The sequence below is a fragment of the Homo sapiens genome, chromosome 4 (genome assembly GCF_000001405.40).
Source record: "Homo sapiens chromosome 4, GRCh38.p14 Primary Assembly".
In the NCBI taxonomy this organism is placed as follows: Eukaryota; Metazoa; Chordata; class Mammalia; order Primates; family Hominidae; genus Homo; species Homo sapiens.
Window position 1 is genome coordinate 13,859,158 of NC_000004.12, and position 17,803 is coordinate 13,876,960.

A 17,803-nucleotide genomic window follows, 5' to 3' on the forward strand; every position below is an offset into this window, starting at 1 on the left:
CCTGACAGTCCTCAGATATTTGAAGATAGAGCCTATGTTCCCTGAGCTTCTCCAAGGGTAGTATCTTCCTGGTTATGTGGCCTCCAGACATCTTATCATCCTGTTCTTCCCTTGATATGAGCACCTCCCAAGTGCCAGGGTTAAGGGATTGGCAGAGGTATGCTGTTTTTAGGATTGAGTGTGGGGAAGCAATTCAGCCTCAGATGCCAAGAAATTGGATGTTTCGCTCATCTCTGTGGAAATTCCCATTTTCCATTTGAAATTCAGTTTTTTGTTCCTTTCGTATCCAGGTATGATTTTCTTAAGGCTTCACTGATTCCAAAGAAATGTTCAAAATTCTCCATAAAGTTTCTATATATTTTCTGGAATTTACTTCTTATGAAGCTCCTCTGTCTCATATTTCTGCAGTTATATGTCTTGTCTTTTAATGGCTATGTCAACTTAGTGCGTAGAACAGGATGTGGTAGGTGCCCAATAAATATTTTTTGAATGAATAAATAGACTCAAATTTATTCATTGAAATGAATAGATTCAGGTACAATTCAGCATTTTCATTGGCTTCTTTCTAGCTTTAAGCGTTTTTTAATTTAAGAGGAATTTATTGAAGATTGATGGTCTCAACAGAGTAAGGCTGCAATTTTCTACTTTGTTCCTTTTCTCTATCCCTGTTCTCAAATTCTTTCTCCATTGTTCCCTGAAAGCTGCAAATTCTTTTTTCTCCATAATGGGTAATAATTCAGGTCTCCCTAGCTCCTATGGTTGTAACTATACATCTGTTAAAAAGGGTGCACTGATGAACGCCTAACAACTTGCTTTCCAAAAATTATCACCGTGGATGATTTCAAACTACTAATGCAAAGTCAATGAATATTGCATCAGGAAGAGATTGAGCTCTTGAGAGCTATGATGAGCTGGTTCCAGTCCTCCACTGAAGGGCTCAAAAACCAAAGGATCTGTCCTCCTCAGAGGATGGTTGAGATCACATACAGCTACTCTTTTTTCTGTTGTTACATTAAAAAAAAAAAAAGCTATTCAGCATAAACTAGACTTTCTAAACTTGTAAACTAATGGTAATAAACTGGGAGGAGTGCTGCCCCCAAGAGGGGATTTGAAAATTCTCAGGGCTATCTGGGGCTGTAGCAGTAACTGGGATACTACAGACATTTAGTGGGCAAAGGTCAGGAATGTTGGGTATTCTTCCACATGAAAGACAGTCCTGCACAACAAAGAATTGTACTGACCAAAAAGTCTATGGTGAAATCCTTGGAAAATTCTGCTCTGCACCATGCTTCCCACAGGTTGGCTTTCTGCCGGATCATAGTCCTTTATATTCTGCTAAACTTTTGTGAGGGAAATAATCACACCCTGCTGCTTACAGGAAAAGGAAGTCCTATGCTTAGTGACAGATGCTTATTTTATTTCTAAGTGATTGAAATCAAACGCATTGGAATGAAACTTTTTTCCCTATTAACCTTTAGCAGCATTTATAATGACCATGTTAAATCAAGCCTCATTACAATGCCATGGGGCCTGACTGAAATACTGCAGGTATGATGCTGAGTAATTTCATAAATTATTAAGTGGTAATTGAAAGTAATATGGCAGAATACATTTTACTCCTGAGGGGGATAATACAGAAGACTTTGGAAGGAAATAAAGTTGGTTAAAATATAGCATATAGGAAAGAGTTGGAAGCTGGGTGGAGAGGAAGGGTAACAGAAGTCCCGGACATATCATTTAATTTTTGGCTTTGGGTGAAAATATGTATTTTGGATACTGGGGTTTCACTGACTGCTTAAGTGGTTAAGGCCCCTGCTTGAGACGTTGCAGACACTTCAACTCCTCTCTGACTTCCTGTGCCCAGGCAGTCATCAGAGCAAAAGGATCAAACTCAAATTATTTTTTTATACCAATTGTTTCTCCATGCCATGTCTTTATTTCAGTTACGATTCACTTCAAGTCCTCACCTCCCAAAAGCTTTTCAGAAGCTTTATTCTAACAAAAATCCCCAACAGTGAAGCAGTTAATGCTTGTTGTGAAAAACTAAAATAATAAAGAATATAGAATTACAGCAGGGAAAGTCTCTTATTGTCACACACAGCCTTTACTAGAGGCAATATATTCCTCCAGATCCACACATATAGCACTTTAAAAGCTTAGTTTTCTAACAAACACTCATACTATATGGACTGTTCTACAACTTGCTCTTTTTATTCAATATTATAGCTTAGACATCGTTTTATGTCTACACATTTAGATCTAAACTTTAAAATATTTTTAAAATTATAAGCATACTGCAAAGCATACATAATTTTTGTGATTTCTATTTTTAATCACAAGTGAATATACCTGTGTAACCTCTACTTACCACTGTCCTTGAATTCTCCCTCACATCCCTCCCAGTCATTAACCCATCCTTCCTGAATGTAACCACTATTCTAAATTATCTCGCCACAGAGTAGTTCTGCCGTTTCTTGAGATTAATATAAGTGAAATCATTCAATATCAACTCTTTTGTGTCTGGATTCCTTTGCTTGTTATAGCTATGAAATTTTTCCACATTATAGCATGGAATAGTGGTATAGTGGTTCATTTTTATTGCTATATAGTATTCTATTGTGTGAATGTACCATAATCTATTCATTTTCCTTTAGTTGACTTTTAGATTGTAGTTTTGAGTTGCTCTGAATAATGACTGTTTACTTATGTGTCTTTTGATAAATACACACACACACACACACACACACACACACACAAATTTTTCTTGAATACATACCTAGGAGTGGAATTGCTCTGATGTAAATAATGTGCATATTCAGCATTAGCTGCTGCCACCAAGAGCTTTGCCAAAGCAACTATAAATAATTCGGGTGTTCACAGGCTATGTGTGAGGATTCCAGTTGCTCTATATCTTTGCCAATACTTGGTATAGTAGGTTTTATTTTTGTTATTTATTTATTTATTTCAACAGTTTTTGTGGAAGAGTTGTGTATTAGTCTGTTTTCATGCTGTTGATAAAGACATGCCTGAGACTGGGTAATTTATACAGGAAAAAGGGTTTAATGGATTTACAGTTTTATGTGGCTGAGGAGGCCTCACAATCATGGCAGAAGGTAAGGAGGAGCAAGTCACATCTTACATGGATGGCAGCAGGCAAAAAGAGAGAGCTTGTGCAGGGAAACTCCCCCTCATAGAACCATCAGATCTCTTGAGAGTCCTTCACTATGATGAGAACAGTGCAGGAAAGACTCGCCCCCATGATTCAATCACCTTGCACTGGGTTTCTCCCACGACACATGGGAATTATAGGAGCTACAAGTCAAGATGAGATTTGGGTGGGGACACAACCAAACCATATCAAGGTGGTTTTTGGTTTTTGGTTTGGATCTTCATTTTGAAAGATATTTTTTTAGTTACTAGCAAAAGCATTTTAGACTGATAAGTTATTTTTGTCCAGTATTTAAACATTCATTATATTGTCTTTGGCTTCCGTAATTTCTGCTAAAAAATCAGAGGATATATTTTTTTCTCTCTGCTTTTAAGAGTTTCACTCTATGTTTTTTAACAGTTTGTCTATGATGTTTCTTTTGTGTTTTTTTCTTTCTTTCATGTTTCTTTTTTCATGTTGCTCAAGTTCTGAGATACTCTTGGATCTGTGTCTTTTCACCAGTTTAGAAAAATTCTGAGCCAGTCTGTCTTTAAATACTCATCTGATCAATTCTCTCTCTCTTTTTTTCTGGGACTCTAATGAGACATATGTTAGACATTTCCATTTATGTTCCAAGTATCTTTTACTTTTCCTCTCTATATTCATTTCTCTACTTGATGCATCAATGTAAACTCTTTTTGTTTTTTAAAAATTATAGATTTAGGGAGTATAAGTGCAGTTTTGTTACATGGATATATTGCATAGTGGTAAAGAAAGCTTCTGCACAGCAAAAGAAATAATCAACAGAGTGAAAAGACAACCTGTAGAATGGGAGAAAATATTTTCTAACTATGCATCTGACAAATAACTAATATCCAGAATCTACAAAGAACTCAAATATTTTAACAAAAACAATAAATATAAACTTTTTTTAACTGATCTGTGTTCCAGTTCACTAATTCTCTTTTTTTGCTTTCTTTAATCTGCCTTTGACTTTTAATTTAGTTATTATATTTTTCCATTTTAGAATTTTCCTTTTTTTTCAATATTATGTTTAGATGGTAATACTTTTCACCCTTTCACATTTTATTGAATTCATTAATCCTAGTTTCTTTAAAGTCCCTATGTGAGAACTCAATTGTGTGATCATCTTTGGGTAAGTTTCTATGGTTTATTTATTCATTGATTTTTGATCATTTGTCCTTTTCTATTGGTATGACATGCATTTTTTGATTAAATGCCTTACATTATGTCGGCATTAGAAGCTCTGGATATCATTACTTTCCTGAAGGAGCATTTACTTTTCTTCTGGCAGTTATATAAAATATGAGAACTCCTTGATCCAATTAAACCTGAGTTTCTGGTTTTATTAGGACTTATCTGTTTATGAGTTCCCTTCCTCTTGGGAATACCCTTTAAGCAAGCTTGTCTAATCTGTGGCTTGTGGGCTGCATGCGGCCCAGGACAGCTTTGAATGTGGCCCAACACAAATTCATAAACTTTCTTAAAACCTTATGAGATTCTTATTCTTCTTCCAATGTGGCCCAGGGAAGCCAGAAATTGGACACCCCTGAAGTATTCTCAGTGGAAGGTCTGGGTTTTCTATCAGGACCTTTCTTCCATGATGGACTCTGGACTCCAGTTTTCCTCTCCCCATCACCATGAGACTGCCTAAATCTCTCCATAGCTTTTTAGCTTCTTAGCAGCTGATTTCTGCCTTACTTTTCATTAAGTAGCTCTACGACTGTACAGTTTAGGAATCAGGAAGTAATTTAATGACAAATAACATGTGTTCTTTTGGGCTCACTTTTCTTCAGAGCTCTTTTCTCTGTGATCTGGGCTCCTCTATCCCTGGCTGCTTTAGTTACCCTTACTTCCAATTCTTACCTTTCTATTTCAGTGAGACTGCTGCAGACTCTATGCCATTGCTTTCTGTTTGCCTTCTGTGCTCCTTGCTGCAGATTAGCAAAACCCCAAGGAAAAAGCAACTTTGGAAGGAGGGCTTATTTTAGTACTTTTCCTTTTTCTGGGGAGTATGACCCCTCAATTTTTATATGCCTTGGTTGTTCTCTGATACCTCCAAAAAGTATTGCTTTTTTCTCTTTCCTTGCTTAAAATAGACTTTAGTTTTTTAAGAGCACTTTTAGGTTCACAGCAAAATTGAAAAGGAGGTACAGAGCAGCAAAGTTGAGCACAGTTTTAGGTTCACAGCAAAACTGAGCAAGATGTAGAGATTTTCCATGTATCCCCCACCCCCACACATGCACAGCCTCCCTCATTATCAATATCCTACACCAGGGTGGTACATTTATTACAACTGATGAGCCTACATTGACACATTATCACCCAGAGTCCATAGTTTACATAAAGGTTTACTCTTGATACTGTACATCTTGTGGGTTTTGACATGTATAATGATGTGTATTCAGCATTATAATGTCATACAGTGTAGTTTCACTGCCCTAAAAATTCTCTGTGCTCTGCCTACTCATCCCTCCCTCTCCACTAATCCCTGTAAACCATTGGTCTTTTTATTATCTCCATAGCTTTGCCTTTTTCAGAATGTCATATAGTTGGAATTCTATAGTATATAGCCTTTTAAAATTGGCTGCTTTCACATTATTAAGCAAGCATTTAAGTTTCCTCCATGTCTTTTCATAGCTTGAGAGCTCATTTCTTTTTAGCACTGAATAATATTCTATTTTATGGAATAATTTATGGATTCATTTACATACTGAAGGATATCCTGGTTTCTTCCAAGTTTTGGCAACTATGAATAAAGCTGCTGTAAATACCTATGTGCAGGCTTTTGTGTGGAGATAAGTTTTCAGTTTCTTTAAGTAAATACTAAGGATCATAAATAAATGTCTTTTAAATAAATATATTATCCAACTTTTAGGTTGTTCTCAATAGGAGGTTTAGTATGGCACAAGCTATTCAACAACGGTGACTGCTTTATTCATTTTGAAGAGTACATAGAACTTCAAATCTATTTGTATATGTATATGTACATGTATATGTACTATCAATTAATTGTTTAGTCCCCTTTTTGACTTCTGGTCTTTTCTCTATTATGAACAATGTTACATGAACATTCTTGTGATACGGCTTTGTGCAACTGTACAATTATTTCTTTAGAATCAATTGCTGAGACTGGAATTTCTGGAGATGGCCTGCATCAATTTGCCCATTGTCTATTAGCCAGAACTCACCTCATTTCAGGATAGACTTGGAAATGTAGAACTTTTCTAAGCATAGAATGAGGAAATGATGTAAATGCAGCATTGTTTTTGCTACTAATTACTTTCTAACTAGTTCTTCTATATTGCTTTATCACTTATCCAAAAATACCACATAAGTCACCAACAGATGAAAATCTTTTAGGATTTTTCCCTTTGAATGAATTTTTGACTTCTTAAAAATGTATTAAGGGATAGAACCTCAAAGGAAGACAGTTTTGTTTTGCATTTCTGAATCTAGTTTTCTTATTTTCTTATCCTGATAGTTACTTATTCCTTTTGATTGAAGGAGATAATAGGAGGGGTTCAGAAGGGCTCTAGTTCACAATTGGCTAGAGATGGTCATACTTACTGAGGCAAGTTCTCTCTAAACACTATTGCAGCTCACATAGTAGCGGCAGGAGAGAGACAAAAATAGGGATGGACATTGGTTTTACTACATCTTAGTAATATGACTTTGGGTGAACTATGGAACCTTTCTGTACCTCTGTGGTTTCAGTGGTATAACAGCTTTGATGATTGGATAAAATGGATTCCGTCCTATTGTGCCTCATCAGTCTCCATTTTAAAAAATCACCAGAAAACATAGGGTTTGATTTTGAGACAAGACAGGAGTCTGAGCCATAAGGGAGCACTAGGTTTGTGTGTGTGTGTAATCCACACTCAATATCTCAGGCTAGGAAGCAGGGCACACATTCATCTCCAGCTAATTTTTATTTATTTGGAACCATTCAGATCAATCTTTGTAGAATCAGCAAACACTTCAGGTACACAACTTTAGGTGTTAAGTGCCTCCTCTGCTTCCTGCTAGAAGTGGGTCTCTTGAGAGTCATCTGTTTTTAATCTGCAGGAGAGGAACGACTCAGAGGGAGCCGTGCCTGCCTGGCATTTGAGCTCTCCTCCTTAGGAAATGAGAGTCCTCAAAGTCCATAATCTGGTTTTGTTTGAGTCACTCGGTTGCCTGTTTACAAACGGGGTTAATGAGCTCAGGGGTAGAACCCTCTTGTGGGCATAACCCCTGAGTACCTTCTCTGAAATAACACAACATCAACCAGAATAAAAGTCATTGCTGTTGGTAATCCGACTACCCTTGGTTTGAAAGTACATACCAAGAAGCAAATAGCCCAGTTAGGATTTGATCTTTGAGATTTATTAGCTCTGTGAGCTGAGGAAAGTTGCCTAAACTATTAATGTCTCAGTTTCCTTGTATGTAAAGAATAATAGTACTATCCCTACAGGTCCTTGTTAGGATTAAGTAAGATAATTTATGAAAAGTAGTCTGAATAGTGCCTAGGACATAGTAAGTCCTATAAATATTAGATAGCTTTGTTATAAATCATTATTGTTTTCCTTCATTTAATTTATACAATACCTCTCTAAAGTAGATGTTTTATTATTTATTTATTTATGTAAGGTAGATATTCATTTTATTTCCCTTTTACAGATGAGAATACTAAGACAATGGTCAAGTGACTCACCCAAGCTAACCACATTTAGTAAGTGGTTGAATTGGAATTCAGAACCGGCAGTTTGGATAAATATGATCAAATAATGAGAGAAATGTTACATGGCCTCAAGGAGAGTTATATTACACAGTAATTGAGAGGTAGATTATGATGGCTCATGCCACATGATTGTGGTTTCTGCCTAAGTTTTCAGCTTTATAAAAGTATGTGGGATTGATAAAAGCTACATAACTTTGGGTTAAGGGTTCAAGGCCTGGGGTCAGACAATTTTTGGTTCAAACTCAAATTCTCCCTCTTATTAGTTGTGTCACTTTCAGTGAGTTACTTAAGCTGTCTAAGCCCAAGTTTCTTGATCTGCAAAATTGTAATAATGCTGTTGTATATTAATGAATATAAACTACTTAGCAAATATCCCAGTGCATCATAAGTCCTCAAAAAGTGTTGGCTATTGTGGTGGATTCCAAAATGGCCTTAGTTCTTCTCTTTCTCTGTATTGAGGCTTTTTGTTGTTGTTTTTTTGTTTGTTTGAGACAAGTTCTCACTCTTTTGCCCAGCCTGGAATGCAGTGGTGCGATCATGGCTCACTGCAGCCTTGAACTCCTGGGCTCAATCAATCCTCCTGCCTGAGCCTCCTGAGTAGCTGGGACCACCGGTGTGTACCACCATGCCTGGCTATGTTTTTAAAAGTGTTTTTGTAGAGGCAGGCTCTTGCCATGTTATCCAGGCTGGTCTAGCAATCCTGGGATAAAACCATCCTCCCACCTTGGCCTCCCAAAGTGATGGGATTACCGGTGTGAGCCACCTCACCAGGCTCTATATTGACACTGTTTACCATGTAACTTTGAAGTGCCTTTTGCTCTACCTTTAGACTCAGCCACATGAGTTGCTTTAGCCAATACTATGAGGTGGACATAGCAGTATGCCAGTTGCAGGTCTCTTTCATCTTGGTCATCTCTGTGAGAAATTTGCACATCCTCGCCTGCTGGGGAGATAAGAGATGTGTGGAGCTGAGTCGAGTCATAGAGTCTGATGCAGATCTGGGGTTTGAGCCCAGTTCTATCTGACTTGAAAACCAGAGGTCTTGTCCACTCTGCTAGTCTTCACAGTATTATTATTGCTGTAGGTAAGCTGGAGGCAGATATAAGACAGCACTTTTCTTTGGCATTAGATTGGGTTACCTAGAAAGATTGCAAAATCAGCTGCTATTTAACCAAGATGTAATTACAACAAAGAATAGTAACAGTGAGAGAGAGGGGAAAAAATTTTCATTATAAGAACAAAATAGGTTTTCTAAAATGTACGCAAGTAATACAGGACAGCACCTCCATAGTGGTGTCTAATGTATAACTTCCTTTGTCATACATGAGCCCAAATTTGGTAGAGTGTGACTTCTTGCTATGACTGATGCCTTTGAGATCCCTAGGCTGAAATGAGCTAGGTGGAGTTCTGCTGGCCTCTAGAGAATTGGTATTTCATAACAAAGAATTTGGCCTTTGTCTCTAGTTTCTGGGAAGGGGACTCTAAATCTTTGGAATTTCCTAAGATTGAGTTTAATTATGTAGCCAGTTATTTAATCAATCATGACTGTATAATAAATCCCCAATGAGAGCCCTAGACATTGAAGCTTTGTGGAGCCTCCTGGTTGTTGAACACATTGATGTACCAGAAGAACAACATGTCCTGATTCCACAGGGAGAAGGCAAGAAGCTTTGCCTTTAGGACTTTCCCAGACTTTGCCCTGTGTGTCTTCATTTGGCAGGTACTGATTTGTGTCTGTTACAGTAAAACTGTAATGATAAAGATAGCACTTTTCTGAGTTCTGTGAGTTCTAATAAACTATCTAACCTGAGGGGTGTTTTGAGAAGACCCCAGATTTGGAGTCAGTTGATCAGAAGGGCGGGTAATCTGAGATCTCCGAATTTGTGGCCGCTGTCTGATGTGAGGGTAGTCATGTTGGGGACTGTATCTTTAATTTGTGAGGTCTGACACTACCTTCAGGTAGTGTCAGATTGCATTGCAGTATTGCAATTGACTAGATGACCTTACATGCTTTTTCTTTAAAAAAATAATATTCCATTACATGATAATAATGTTTGCATATTCTTACTAAAAGTGAAATTTTATAGATGTCAAAATCTTCTTTGTCCATTTCCTCCCCAATCTAATTTATCTTCCCTTCCTCTCAGAATAAACCACTGTGCTTCTTTATTATGTAATTTTCCGTCTGTAGTAAGTGCATTTACATATATATACATCTCCAGAGACAATATAAAGTGTTATTTTGTGTTTTGGTTTTATTTGACATGAAAAACATTATATTTGCGTATTTATCTGAAACTTATTTTTCTTCAGTGAATGCTTTTTTGTAGATCTAATACTTATAGAGCTACCTCATTAAACACAAAATCAAGCAAAATACTCCTGTTTTTCAATTTCCCTATTGAAGTAACCCATGTAGGTTTCTTTCTAATTAGCTATCTTTTCAACTAAGGTTGCAATAAATGTCCTTGAAGATGCTTTTTCAGACCCATGTAGGAGTACTTCTCTAGGGAGAGTATCCTTGAAAGTACCTGCCACATGCCTTTGGAAATTTTAGTGTTGATTCAATTATTTTTGACCCTATTGAAAATCTATTGACACTTTGCTGATTTAGAATCAATGCCTAAAAGTTCTTGCATTTGTGCATTAGGTGATGATGAGGAACTATTTGGTGGTAGGTGGATTATCTGTCAATTGACCACCAAGGTCACAGAGATTTTATTTTGGCTGAAGGAAAACAGTCTATTTTTGCTTATCATAAGTTGTAAGCATTCAGAAAGCATAATTCCTTCAGGAAGAATGAATAAACATTTAGTGAATGTTGGTAATTTTGCAAGTGACAGTCACATTTGCATGTTTTATCTATGAGTGTGTGTGTGGGATCTGTGTATGTGTGTGTGTGTGTGTGTTTACCTGCAGGTGCACTTGCATATATAAGAAAATGATTTTAACTTAAAGATGAAGTTCCATGTTCCTGAATTTCTTCCCCAATCCTGGCAAGTGCTAGTCATAGAATAAGTGTGTATTGGTCAGCTCAGGCTGCTATAACAAGATAATGTAGACTGGGTGGCTTACACGACAGATATTTAGTTCTTACAGTATGGAGGCTGGGAAGTCCAAGATCAAGGTATGTGATTTGATTCCTGGTGAGGGCCCTCTTTCTGGCTTGCAGAAGAATTCCTTCTTATTTTGTCCTCACATGGTAGAGAGAGAACTCTGGTAGATACTTCTTTGAGGGGCACTTACAGCTCTTTCTTCTTTTAAGGGTATTAACCCCATCATGGGGGCCTCGCCCTCATGACCTCATCTAAACCTGATTACCTGCCAAAGGCCCCATCTCCAAATACCATCATATTTGGGGTTAGGACTTCAACATATCAATTTGGGGTGGGGGTGGGATACAGACATTAAGTCCATAACAAAGTGGGGTTACCCCATCTTCATCCCAAATCCTTAAGAGAATGGCCTCAGCACCTCCTTCTATAACATCTACCCATATATTTACTTCTGGGTCGCAAACTTGTAGTTAATGATTTACTGACAGAGTTCATATTTTGTCCAGTCTCCTTTTCCATCCATTATAGTTAAAAAACAGTGTTCTACAACCATCTTGGGATTTTCTTCTTAAGGCTCCAAAACTATGTCATCTGCCAGATGGTTCAAATATTCTGATTGGATCTCAGGGCATTGATACTTTAATTTCTAAACAATTACAGGTAGGAATCACAGCTTTGGACATCAGGGCAAGTTTTCTCCATCTTTAGGCTTATCACAGAACATAATTTTTTTTTTTTTTTTACACAGGACCCATTCTCATGAGAGGGAGCTTAGAGTTCTCCTGGCCCTTCATTCTTCTCTTTGACAAGTAATGCTCAGTTTCTTGCCTTCAGGTAATCCTCAGTACAGTTTTCTAACCTTCCACATAAGAAAAAAATATTCAAGGTTAAGTCTTGGGTTAGTAGGGGAGAGGCTTGTGTAGTTAGCAGTGTCTTCCTTGCATGGGGGAAGGAGAGGTTGGGGCTCTGGGTGTCGTATATTTGCCTCCCTGCAGAGATATTCTCTTCCTCCTCTTCTTGATACTCTGGTGACATATTCTCTTCTGCATTGGTATATTCTCCATAGTTCTTCCATCTTTCCTGTCTTCCTTCTTAAGCAAGAATCACCACACATGAAACAAGATAACATCAATAACCATCGTTTAGACTAATAGCTAACATTTGTTAAGTATTTCCCTGTTACTAGAACTGCATGTTTGCAATTAATTCTCACACCAATCCTCAATTTATCTCCCCTTTTTATAAGTGAGAAAACTAAGGCTCAAGAGAGGCTAAGAAATTTGCCCAAAGTCTCATAGCTAGCAGATGGCAATGCTAGGATTTGAATCCAGGCAGTCTGACTCTATTCTTTTAATTACTACCCTGATCTTTATGAAACAAGACGTTCACTTTACAATGAACGTTATTGGGTTCTCATACCACTATTTCCAAGTTGGGATGATAAAGCCTATTTTTCAGATGAGATCAATAGCTTTAGCAAAGTTATTTTGTCCAAAGATCAACAATAAGTAAGTAGAAGAACCAGCCGAAATCCCTCCTCTTCATCATGCTGCCTTAATTTAATTCTTGCTTGTTGCATTGCACTGAATTGAAGTCCCAAGGTCCTCTGTCTCAAGCCAGAAAATGAACTATGAATTGTGGAATGCACCTGTTTCATTGATTTTCTCTTGCTCTTTCTTGTTTTTATGACTTTGCGGGCCCTGTTGCTATCACCCTTTCATAGAATGTGGTTCAACAGTGTCCTCTTGCAGCCCTGTCCCCTGCTTCTGCCCCCAAGCTACAGCCAGACCAATCTACATTTTAAAGTTGTCTCAAAGTATATTCAAATCTCCAGATTTGAATATACTTTCTATTCAAATATTTGAATATACTTTCTATTATAGCCTTAAGCAGCATTGGATCTAATTTTTAAAAGATTTATTGTTGCAATTTGTGCTAATATCATTATAAAACTCAAGATCTGATTAATTCAAATGTATTCATTTATTTTGGATTAATATGCATCCACTGACTAACCTCGGTATTCATTTATACACAAGATTAAAAACAGATTATTACTTCCAAACAACTACCTACAGCAGGCAGCTTAAGTAGAATTGCCCATTTCCAGTACAAGAAGGATAGCTTGAGAATTGTTTTTGCAATCCTGAAAGAGTCAAGGAAAAGAGTATCACATCTGGTGTATCATTACAGCAGCAGGTCTTCAGTTTCTGACTCACACTATCATTGCTGTCTGCACTGCCTCTAGGCTCACTGACACTTTGTCAGCTTTAGTTTTCCAATCTCTGGAGACACAATGAGCACTCACTCATAAAATTATTACTACATGCCTGATCCTGAGTTGGACTTAGGACTTTACATATGCTGATTTAATCTTTGCAGCACCCCTTGGAGACAGGTACTGATATTATGCCATTTTTCAGGGATGGAGGGAACTGAGCATCAGAGAGATTAAGTAACTTGCCAAGGTCAACCTAATAAGTGTCAGAGACAGGATTTGAACCCCCAAAAATCTAGCATCTGAGTCCATGCTCTTAACTACTCTGCTGTATAACTTTAGGATCTATCAGAACTATGCAAGAATTAAAAGGATCTTTGGATTTTTGCTCATCACATTTCTTATGCTAATTGGTGGTCTAGACATTCTTTACATATCAAGCACTTCCTAGGAAATCTCAAGACATCCAGTTCAATTCTGGACAAAAGGCAGTTGCTCCATAGATATAACTTTGAAATCACTATTGATTATTATCTCTCCATAATGGAATATGGAGAAAGGATATTTTTAGGATGAAGTTATTGGATTAATACTCTAGAATTTTACAGTTGAAAGATGTGAGTTTGGCTTGTACTTCCTTCAATTCTTAGTTCAGTCACTATGCTCATAAGTCCTGGGGAGCCTTAGTTTCCTGCTTGATAAAGTGGTAGTTTTATTTCCTTGTCTGACTTCTTTAGTCTGAGCCGTGAACTCCCATAACACATCTGCCCAATACCATGGTGCAGCTTCCTAGGCAGTTCAGGCCCTCATTAGCCTGGACCTGAGGAGCTAATCCACTGCAATTTTCTCCAAGTGCTTCACTACTGAAAGAGAGTCCGGAAAGCAGGTCACCTGTTTTCAATCTGTTATAACTTTACAGGCAAAGGTATTGGGTTGACCTTAACCACAAAATACAATTAATGAGTTGAAGTACTAGTGGAATGTTGGCCCTGAAAAAAACACCTTTCGTATATATTTCCAAAAAGGCCTTTCTTATCTAAGACCTCAAGTTTTAAATAACATTCCTAGGTCGACTTTTTATAGCCTAAACATATCTGTTAGCTATCTACTGTGTGAAAAACATGTTGCCTCGTGGGATAGGAATGGCAGTAACAATAATAACCGTATTATAAATTTGTAGAGCAGATCTTTGTCAAAGTATTTTTAATGTACTGCATCATATTGAAAGAGTGGTGAAATGAGAGATCAAGGTTGAATTCAGGCTTTATCATGACTGACTGACTTTAGATAAGTTTCTGTCCTTCTTTCTGCATTAAATTTTTTATATAATTTGGGAGCTTGATTAGTTGACCCAAATTTTGATTTTCTATGATGCTTTGATACTTTGCCTTAAACTAGAAGAAATAGTACCTCACAGGTTAAAAGGTACACTCTAGGGACTCAATAAATAATTATTGAATGAACTAGAAATACACTAATTGCTTTGAATTACAGGCTCTGGCATAATCAAGTTGTGAGCATTCAAATCTTGGCTTAACTATTTGTGTCTTGGCAAATTCCTTGATCTTTGTTTCACCATATGTAAAATGGGAATGATCACAGCACTCATTTCACAGGCAAAGAGTAAAGGCAAATAGTAAATTAGGTAATAAATGTAAGGTGCTAGAGCAGTGCCTGGTTCCTAGCAGCTGGTCAGTAAATTGTTGGTTAAGAAATTTGAGGCTGGGTGAGGTGGCTCATGCCTGTAATCCTAGCACTTTGGGAGGCCAAGGCGGGAGGATCACGAGGTCAGGAGATCGAGACCATCCTGGCTAACACGGTGAAACCCTGCCTCTACTAAAAGTACAAAAAATTAGCCAGGCGTGGTCGTGGGCACCTGTAGTCCCAGCTACTCGGGAGGCTGAGGCAGGAGAATGGTGTGAACCTGGGAGGCGGAGCTTGCAGTGAGCCAAGATGGCGCCACCACTGCACTCCAGCCTGGGCGACAGAGTGAAGCTCCGATTCAAAAAAAAAAAAAAAGAAATTTGAAACATACTTGCACATGAAATGCAGACACTGATGTTTACCCATGGTTTCAGTAAACCAAAATTGAATGTAGGACCCGAAGTAGAACTTAGCGGGAAACTGGACCAGACTTAAGAGTTGGAAAAAGAATCCTCTGGACCACTAGAAGAGGTTTCAGCTTTATCTGGGAGATAGGCATGTTTAAAGGGCAGAGGGAGAGGGGTCGGGTGAAAACTGGCTAAACATGTTGGAGCCCAAGAACCAGGTCTCTGGGAAGAATTTTATTCATTCTGATAATCCCAATGGTCAAATTTATTTTTTTTTAAACTGACTTTTTTCTTTTTAAAAGCATTTGCGTTTTCTTGTCCAATGGCTTGATTTTCCAGCATTTTACAAATTTGCAGGGACCTTATTGTCATCCCTGATGGACACTGGCCTTGCTATCCTTCCCCCATTCTCTCCCTTAGGAAAAGGTTCCGTCATCTCACATCCAATCAAACACCAAATCTTATAAATCTTATCTTCCAAAATTATCCATCCATCTGCTCCTCTCTTTCTTCACTTTCAGGTCAAGGTCCCTTTGCTGTCCCTGGTGCTGTTACTATGTGATAATCTCTTGCCTTTCTCTCTGCCTTTGGGATGGGAGCAACTCCTGGCTGGCTTCAGAACTTGCACTCTTAATACCTTTACTATGCAGTGGGAAAGAGCACAGTCTGGGATGGGTTTGCCCAGATTGTTTTCAGCTTCCGCATATGTTTTTGAGATAAGTTACTTAATTTGTCTGGCTCAGTTTTCTTATCTGTCAAATGTAGATTATAATAACAATACGCACCTCACAATATTGTTATGAATATTAAAAGCAATTATCTATGCTAAGCAGTTAACACAGTGACTGACTCATGGTCACCCTCGAAAATCAATAATTTGCAGTCACCACCACCACCATCAACATCATTATCATTGCAGTCACCACCACCACCATCAACATCATTATACCATCAGGGAAGTAAGGCTGGAATAATGGGCAAGTTCTAGGTGTCATTCACATTGCTGTTATCAGGGCCAGCCACTCACTGGCACATTGAGAGATTCCTGTTGAATCATTAAGACCATAAGACACCTGAAATCTAACAGATGAGAGTTGTGAAAAGAACTAAGGTTACTGAGCCTGGTGAAGCAATGTGGCCCATGGTCACATATTTACAAGTCTGTGGAAGAGGTGTTAGGAATAATAATATTAATAAAAATAATGTTATAACAGTAGTTGTATGACTATTTCCACCACTACAACTACTGCTATTACCACGATAGGGAGACATTATGAAAAGTTAATCATGAGTTCACTCCCAGAGCTGAAGATGGAGAGCCAGTGGAAGGAAATGGTATGGAACAGACCACATTGCCTCTCTATCTGGCTTAGTCTTCCCAACAACCCTACACTACTGTTTTATTATCTCTCTATTTTATGTCTCACAGAGCTGAAAAAGGCAGAGCCCAAAATACTTCTAAGATACCATATTCTTTCCCTAGATTTTTGCTCACCATTGAAAACTCTTTCTAACAATATCACACATCCAATGTGAAATGAATGAGCTGCCTCAGGATGCCGGGAGATCCCCCATAGGAGTTGTTCAAGCTGAAATCAATGTGTCAGGAGAATTCAGGCATTAGAAGGAGCTGGGATGCTATGACCTTTAAGGTGCTTCTGAAGTTGAGAGTCTTAGACTTTGTGAAATACTGCCTGTGGCTGACAACCTTGGAGCATTATAGTTTTGTTTTTCTATGAAATTCTATTTAAAGAGCTCTCTTTCGTCCCTTAGAGACCCCATGCCTCACCTTAAACAGCACCTCTGGTTTGTAAGAACATACTTAAAAATACACTGTGTAGCTAGTTAGTAACCTCTATCTATAAATCCCCTCAATGAAATTCCAGGGCATTAATCGGCCATAAAGCTCCACAGAGAGGCATTTTCCTTAGCTAAAGTCAGCATTTTCTAACTTCCTGTAAATATTCTCTCACATGAAGCGGTTAATAGGTTTCCTCATGCAGAACATTCTTGGTCACCAATGGAAAAGTTCTCTAAAAGATGGATTGCTTTCCTGTGGCCTCAGGACAAATGCTGATCAGAATCCTTATGCTGCCTGACACCCCCAGTTAATATCAGAACTTGAAGCACTGGTTCTAGGGCCAAATGAAGATGGATCCATGAGCAGAATTCTTGCAATCCTTCTGCCTCAGCCTCCCGGGTAGCTGGGACTACAGATGTGTGACATCACACCCAGCTATTAATTTTTTTTTTTTTTTTGCAGAGATGGGGTCTTGCTATGTTGCCCAGGCTTGAATGTAGTTATCTAAATTTACATTTATTACAACTATATAAAATTAAAAATTCAGTTCTTCAGTCTTACCCCAGTCACACTTCAAATACTCATTAGCCACACATGGTTAATACTCATTAGCCACACATGGCTAGTGACTATTACATTGGACAGTGCAGATCAGAATACTCACATTGTCTCAGGAAGTTCTTTTGGACAGCATTGACCTGGAAGGTCACTTAAATTTTAGAACTGGGATTAAATGTTAGGCCTTCAATGTTCTTTGTACATTATCATGCTCCAGAGAAAGCAGT

At 38.0% G+C, this 17,803-nt stretch overlaps 2 long non-coding RNA genes across 3 annotated transcripts in view; both read left to right on the top strand.

Moving 5' to 3' along the window:
* LINC01182 (long intergenic non-protein coding RNA 1182) overlaps positions 1 to 17,803 on the top strand; it is a 276,050-nt gene that overhangs the window by 203,979 nt on the left and 54,268 nt on the right. The gene's annotated exons all lie outside the window — the stretch shown is intronic.
* The window catches only part of LOC107986182 (uncharacterized), a 103,624-nt gene that overhangs the window by 26,283 nt on the left and 59,538 nt on the right, over positions 1 to 17,803 (top strand). The window contains exon 4 of one of the 2 annotated variants that reach the window (XR_007058056.1): positions 11,697 to 14,483. The exons of the other annotated variant lie outside the window; for it this stretch is intronic. This is a non-coding gene — a long non-coding RNA (uncharacterized LOC107986182). Of the gene's footprint in view, positions 1 to 11,696; positions 14,484 to 17,803 lie in introns of those variants that run through there. 2 annotated transcript variants of the gene reach the window in all.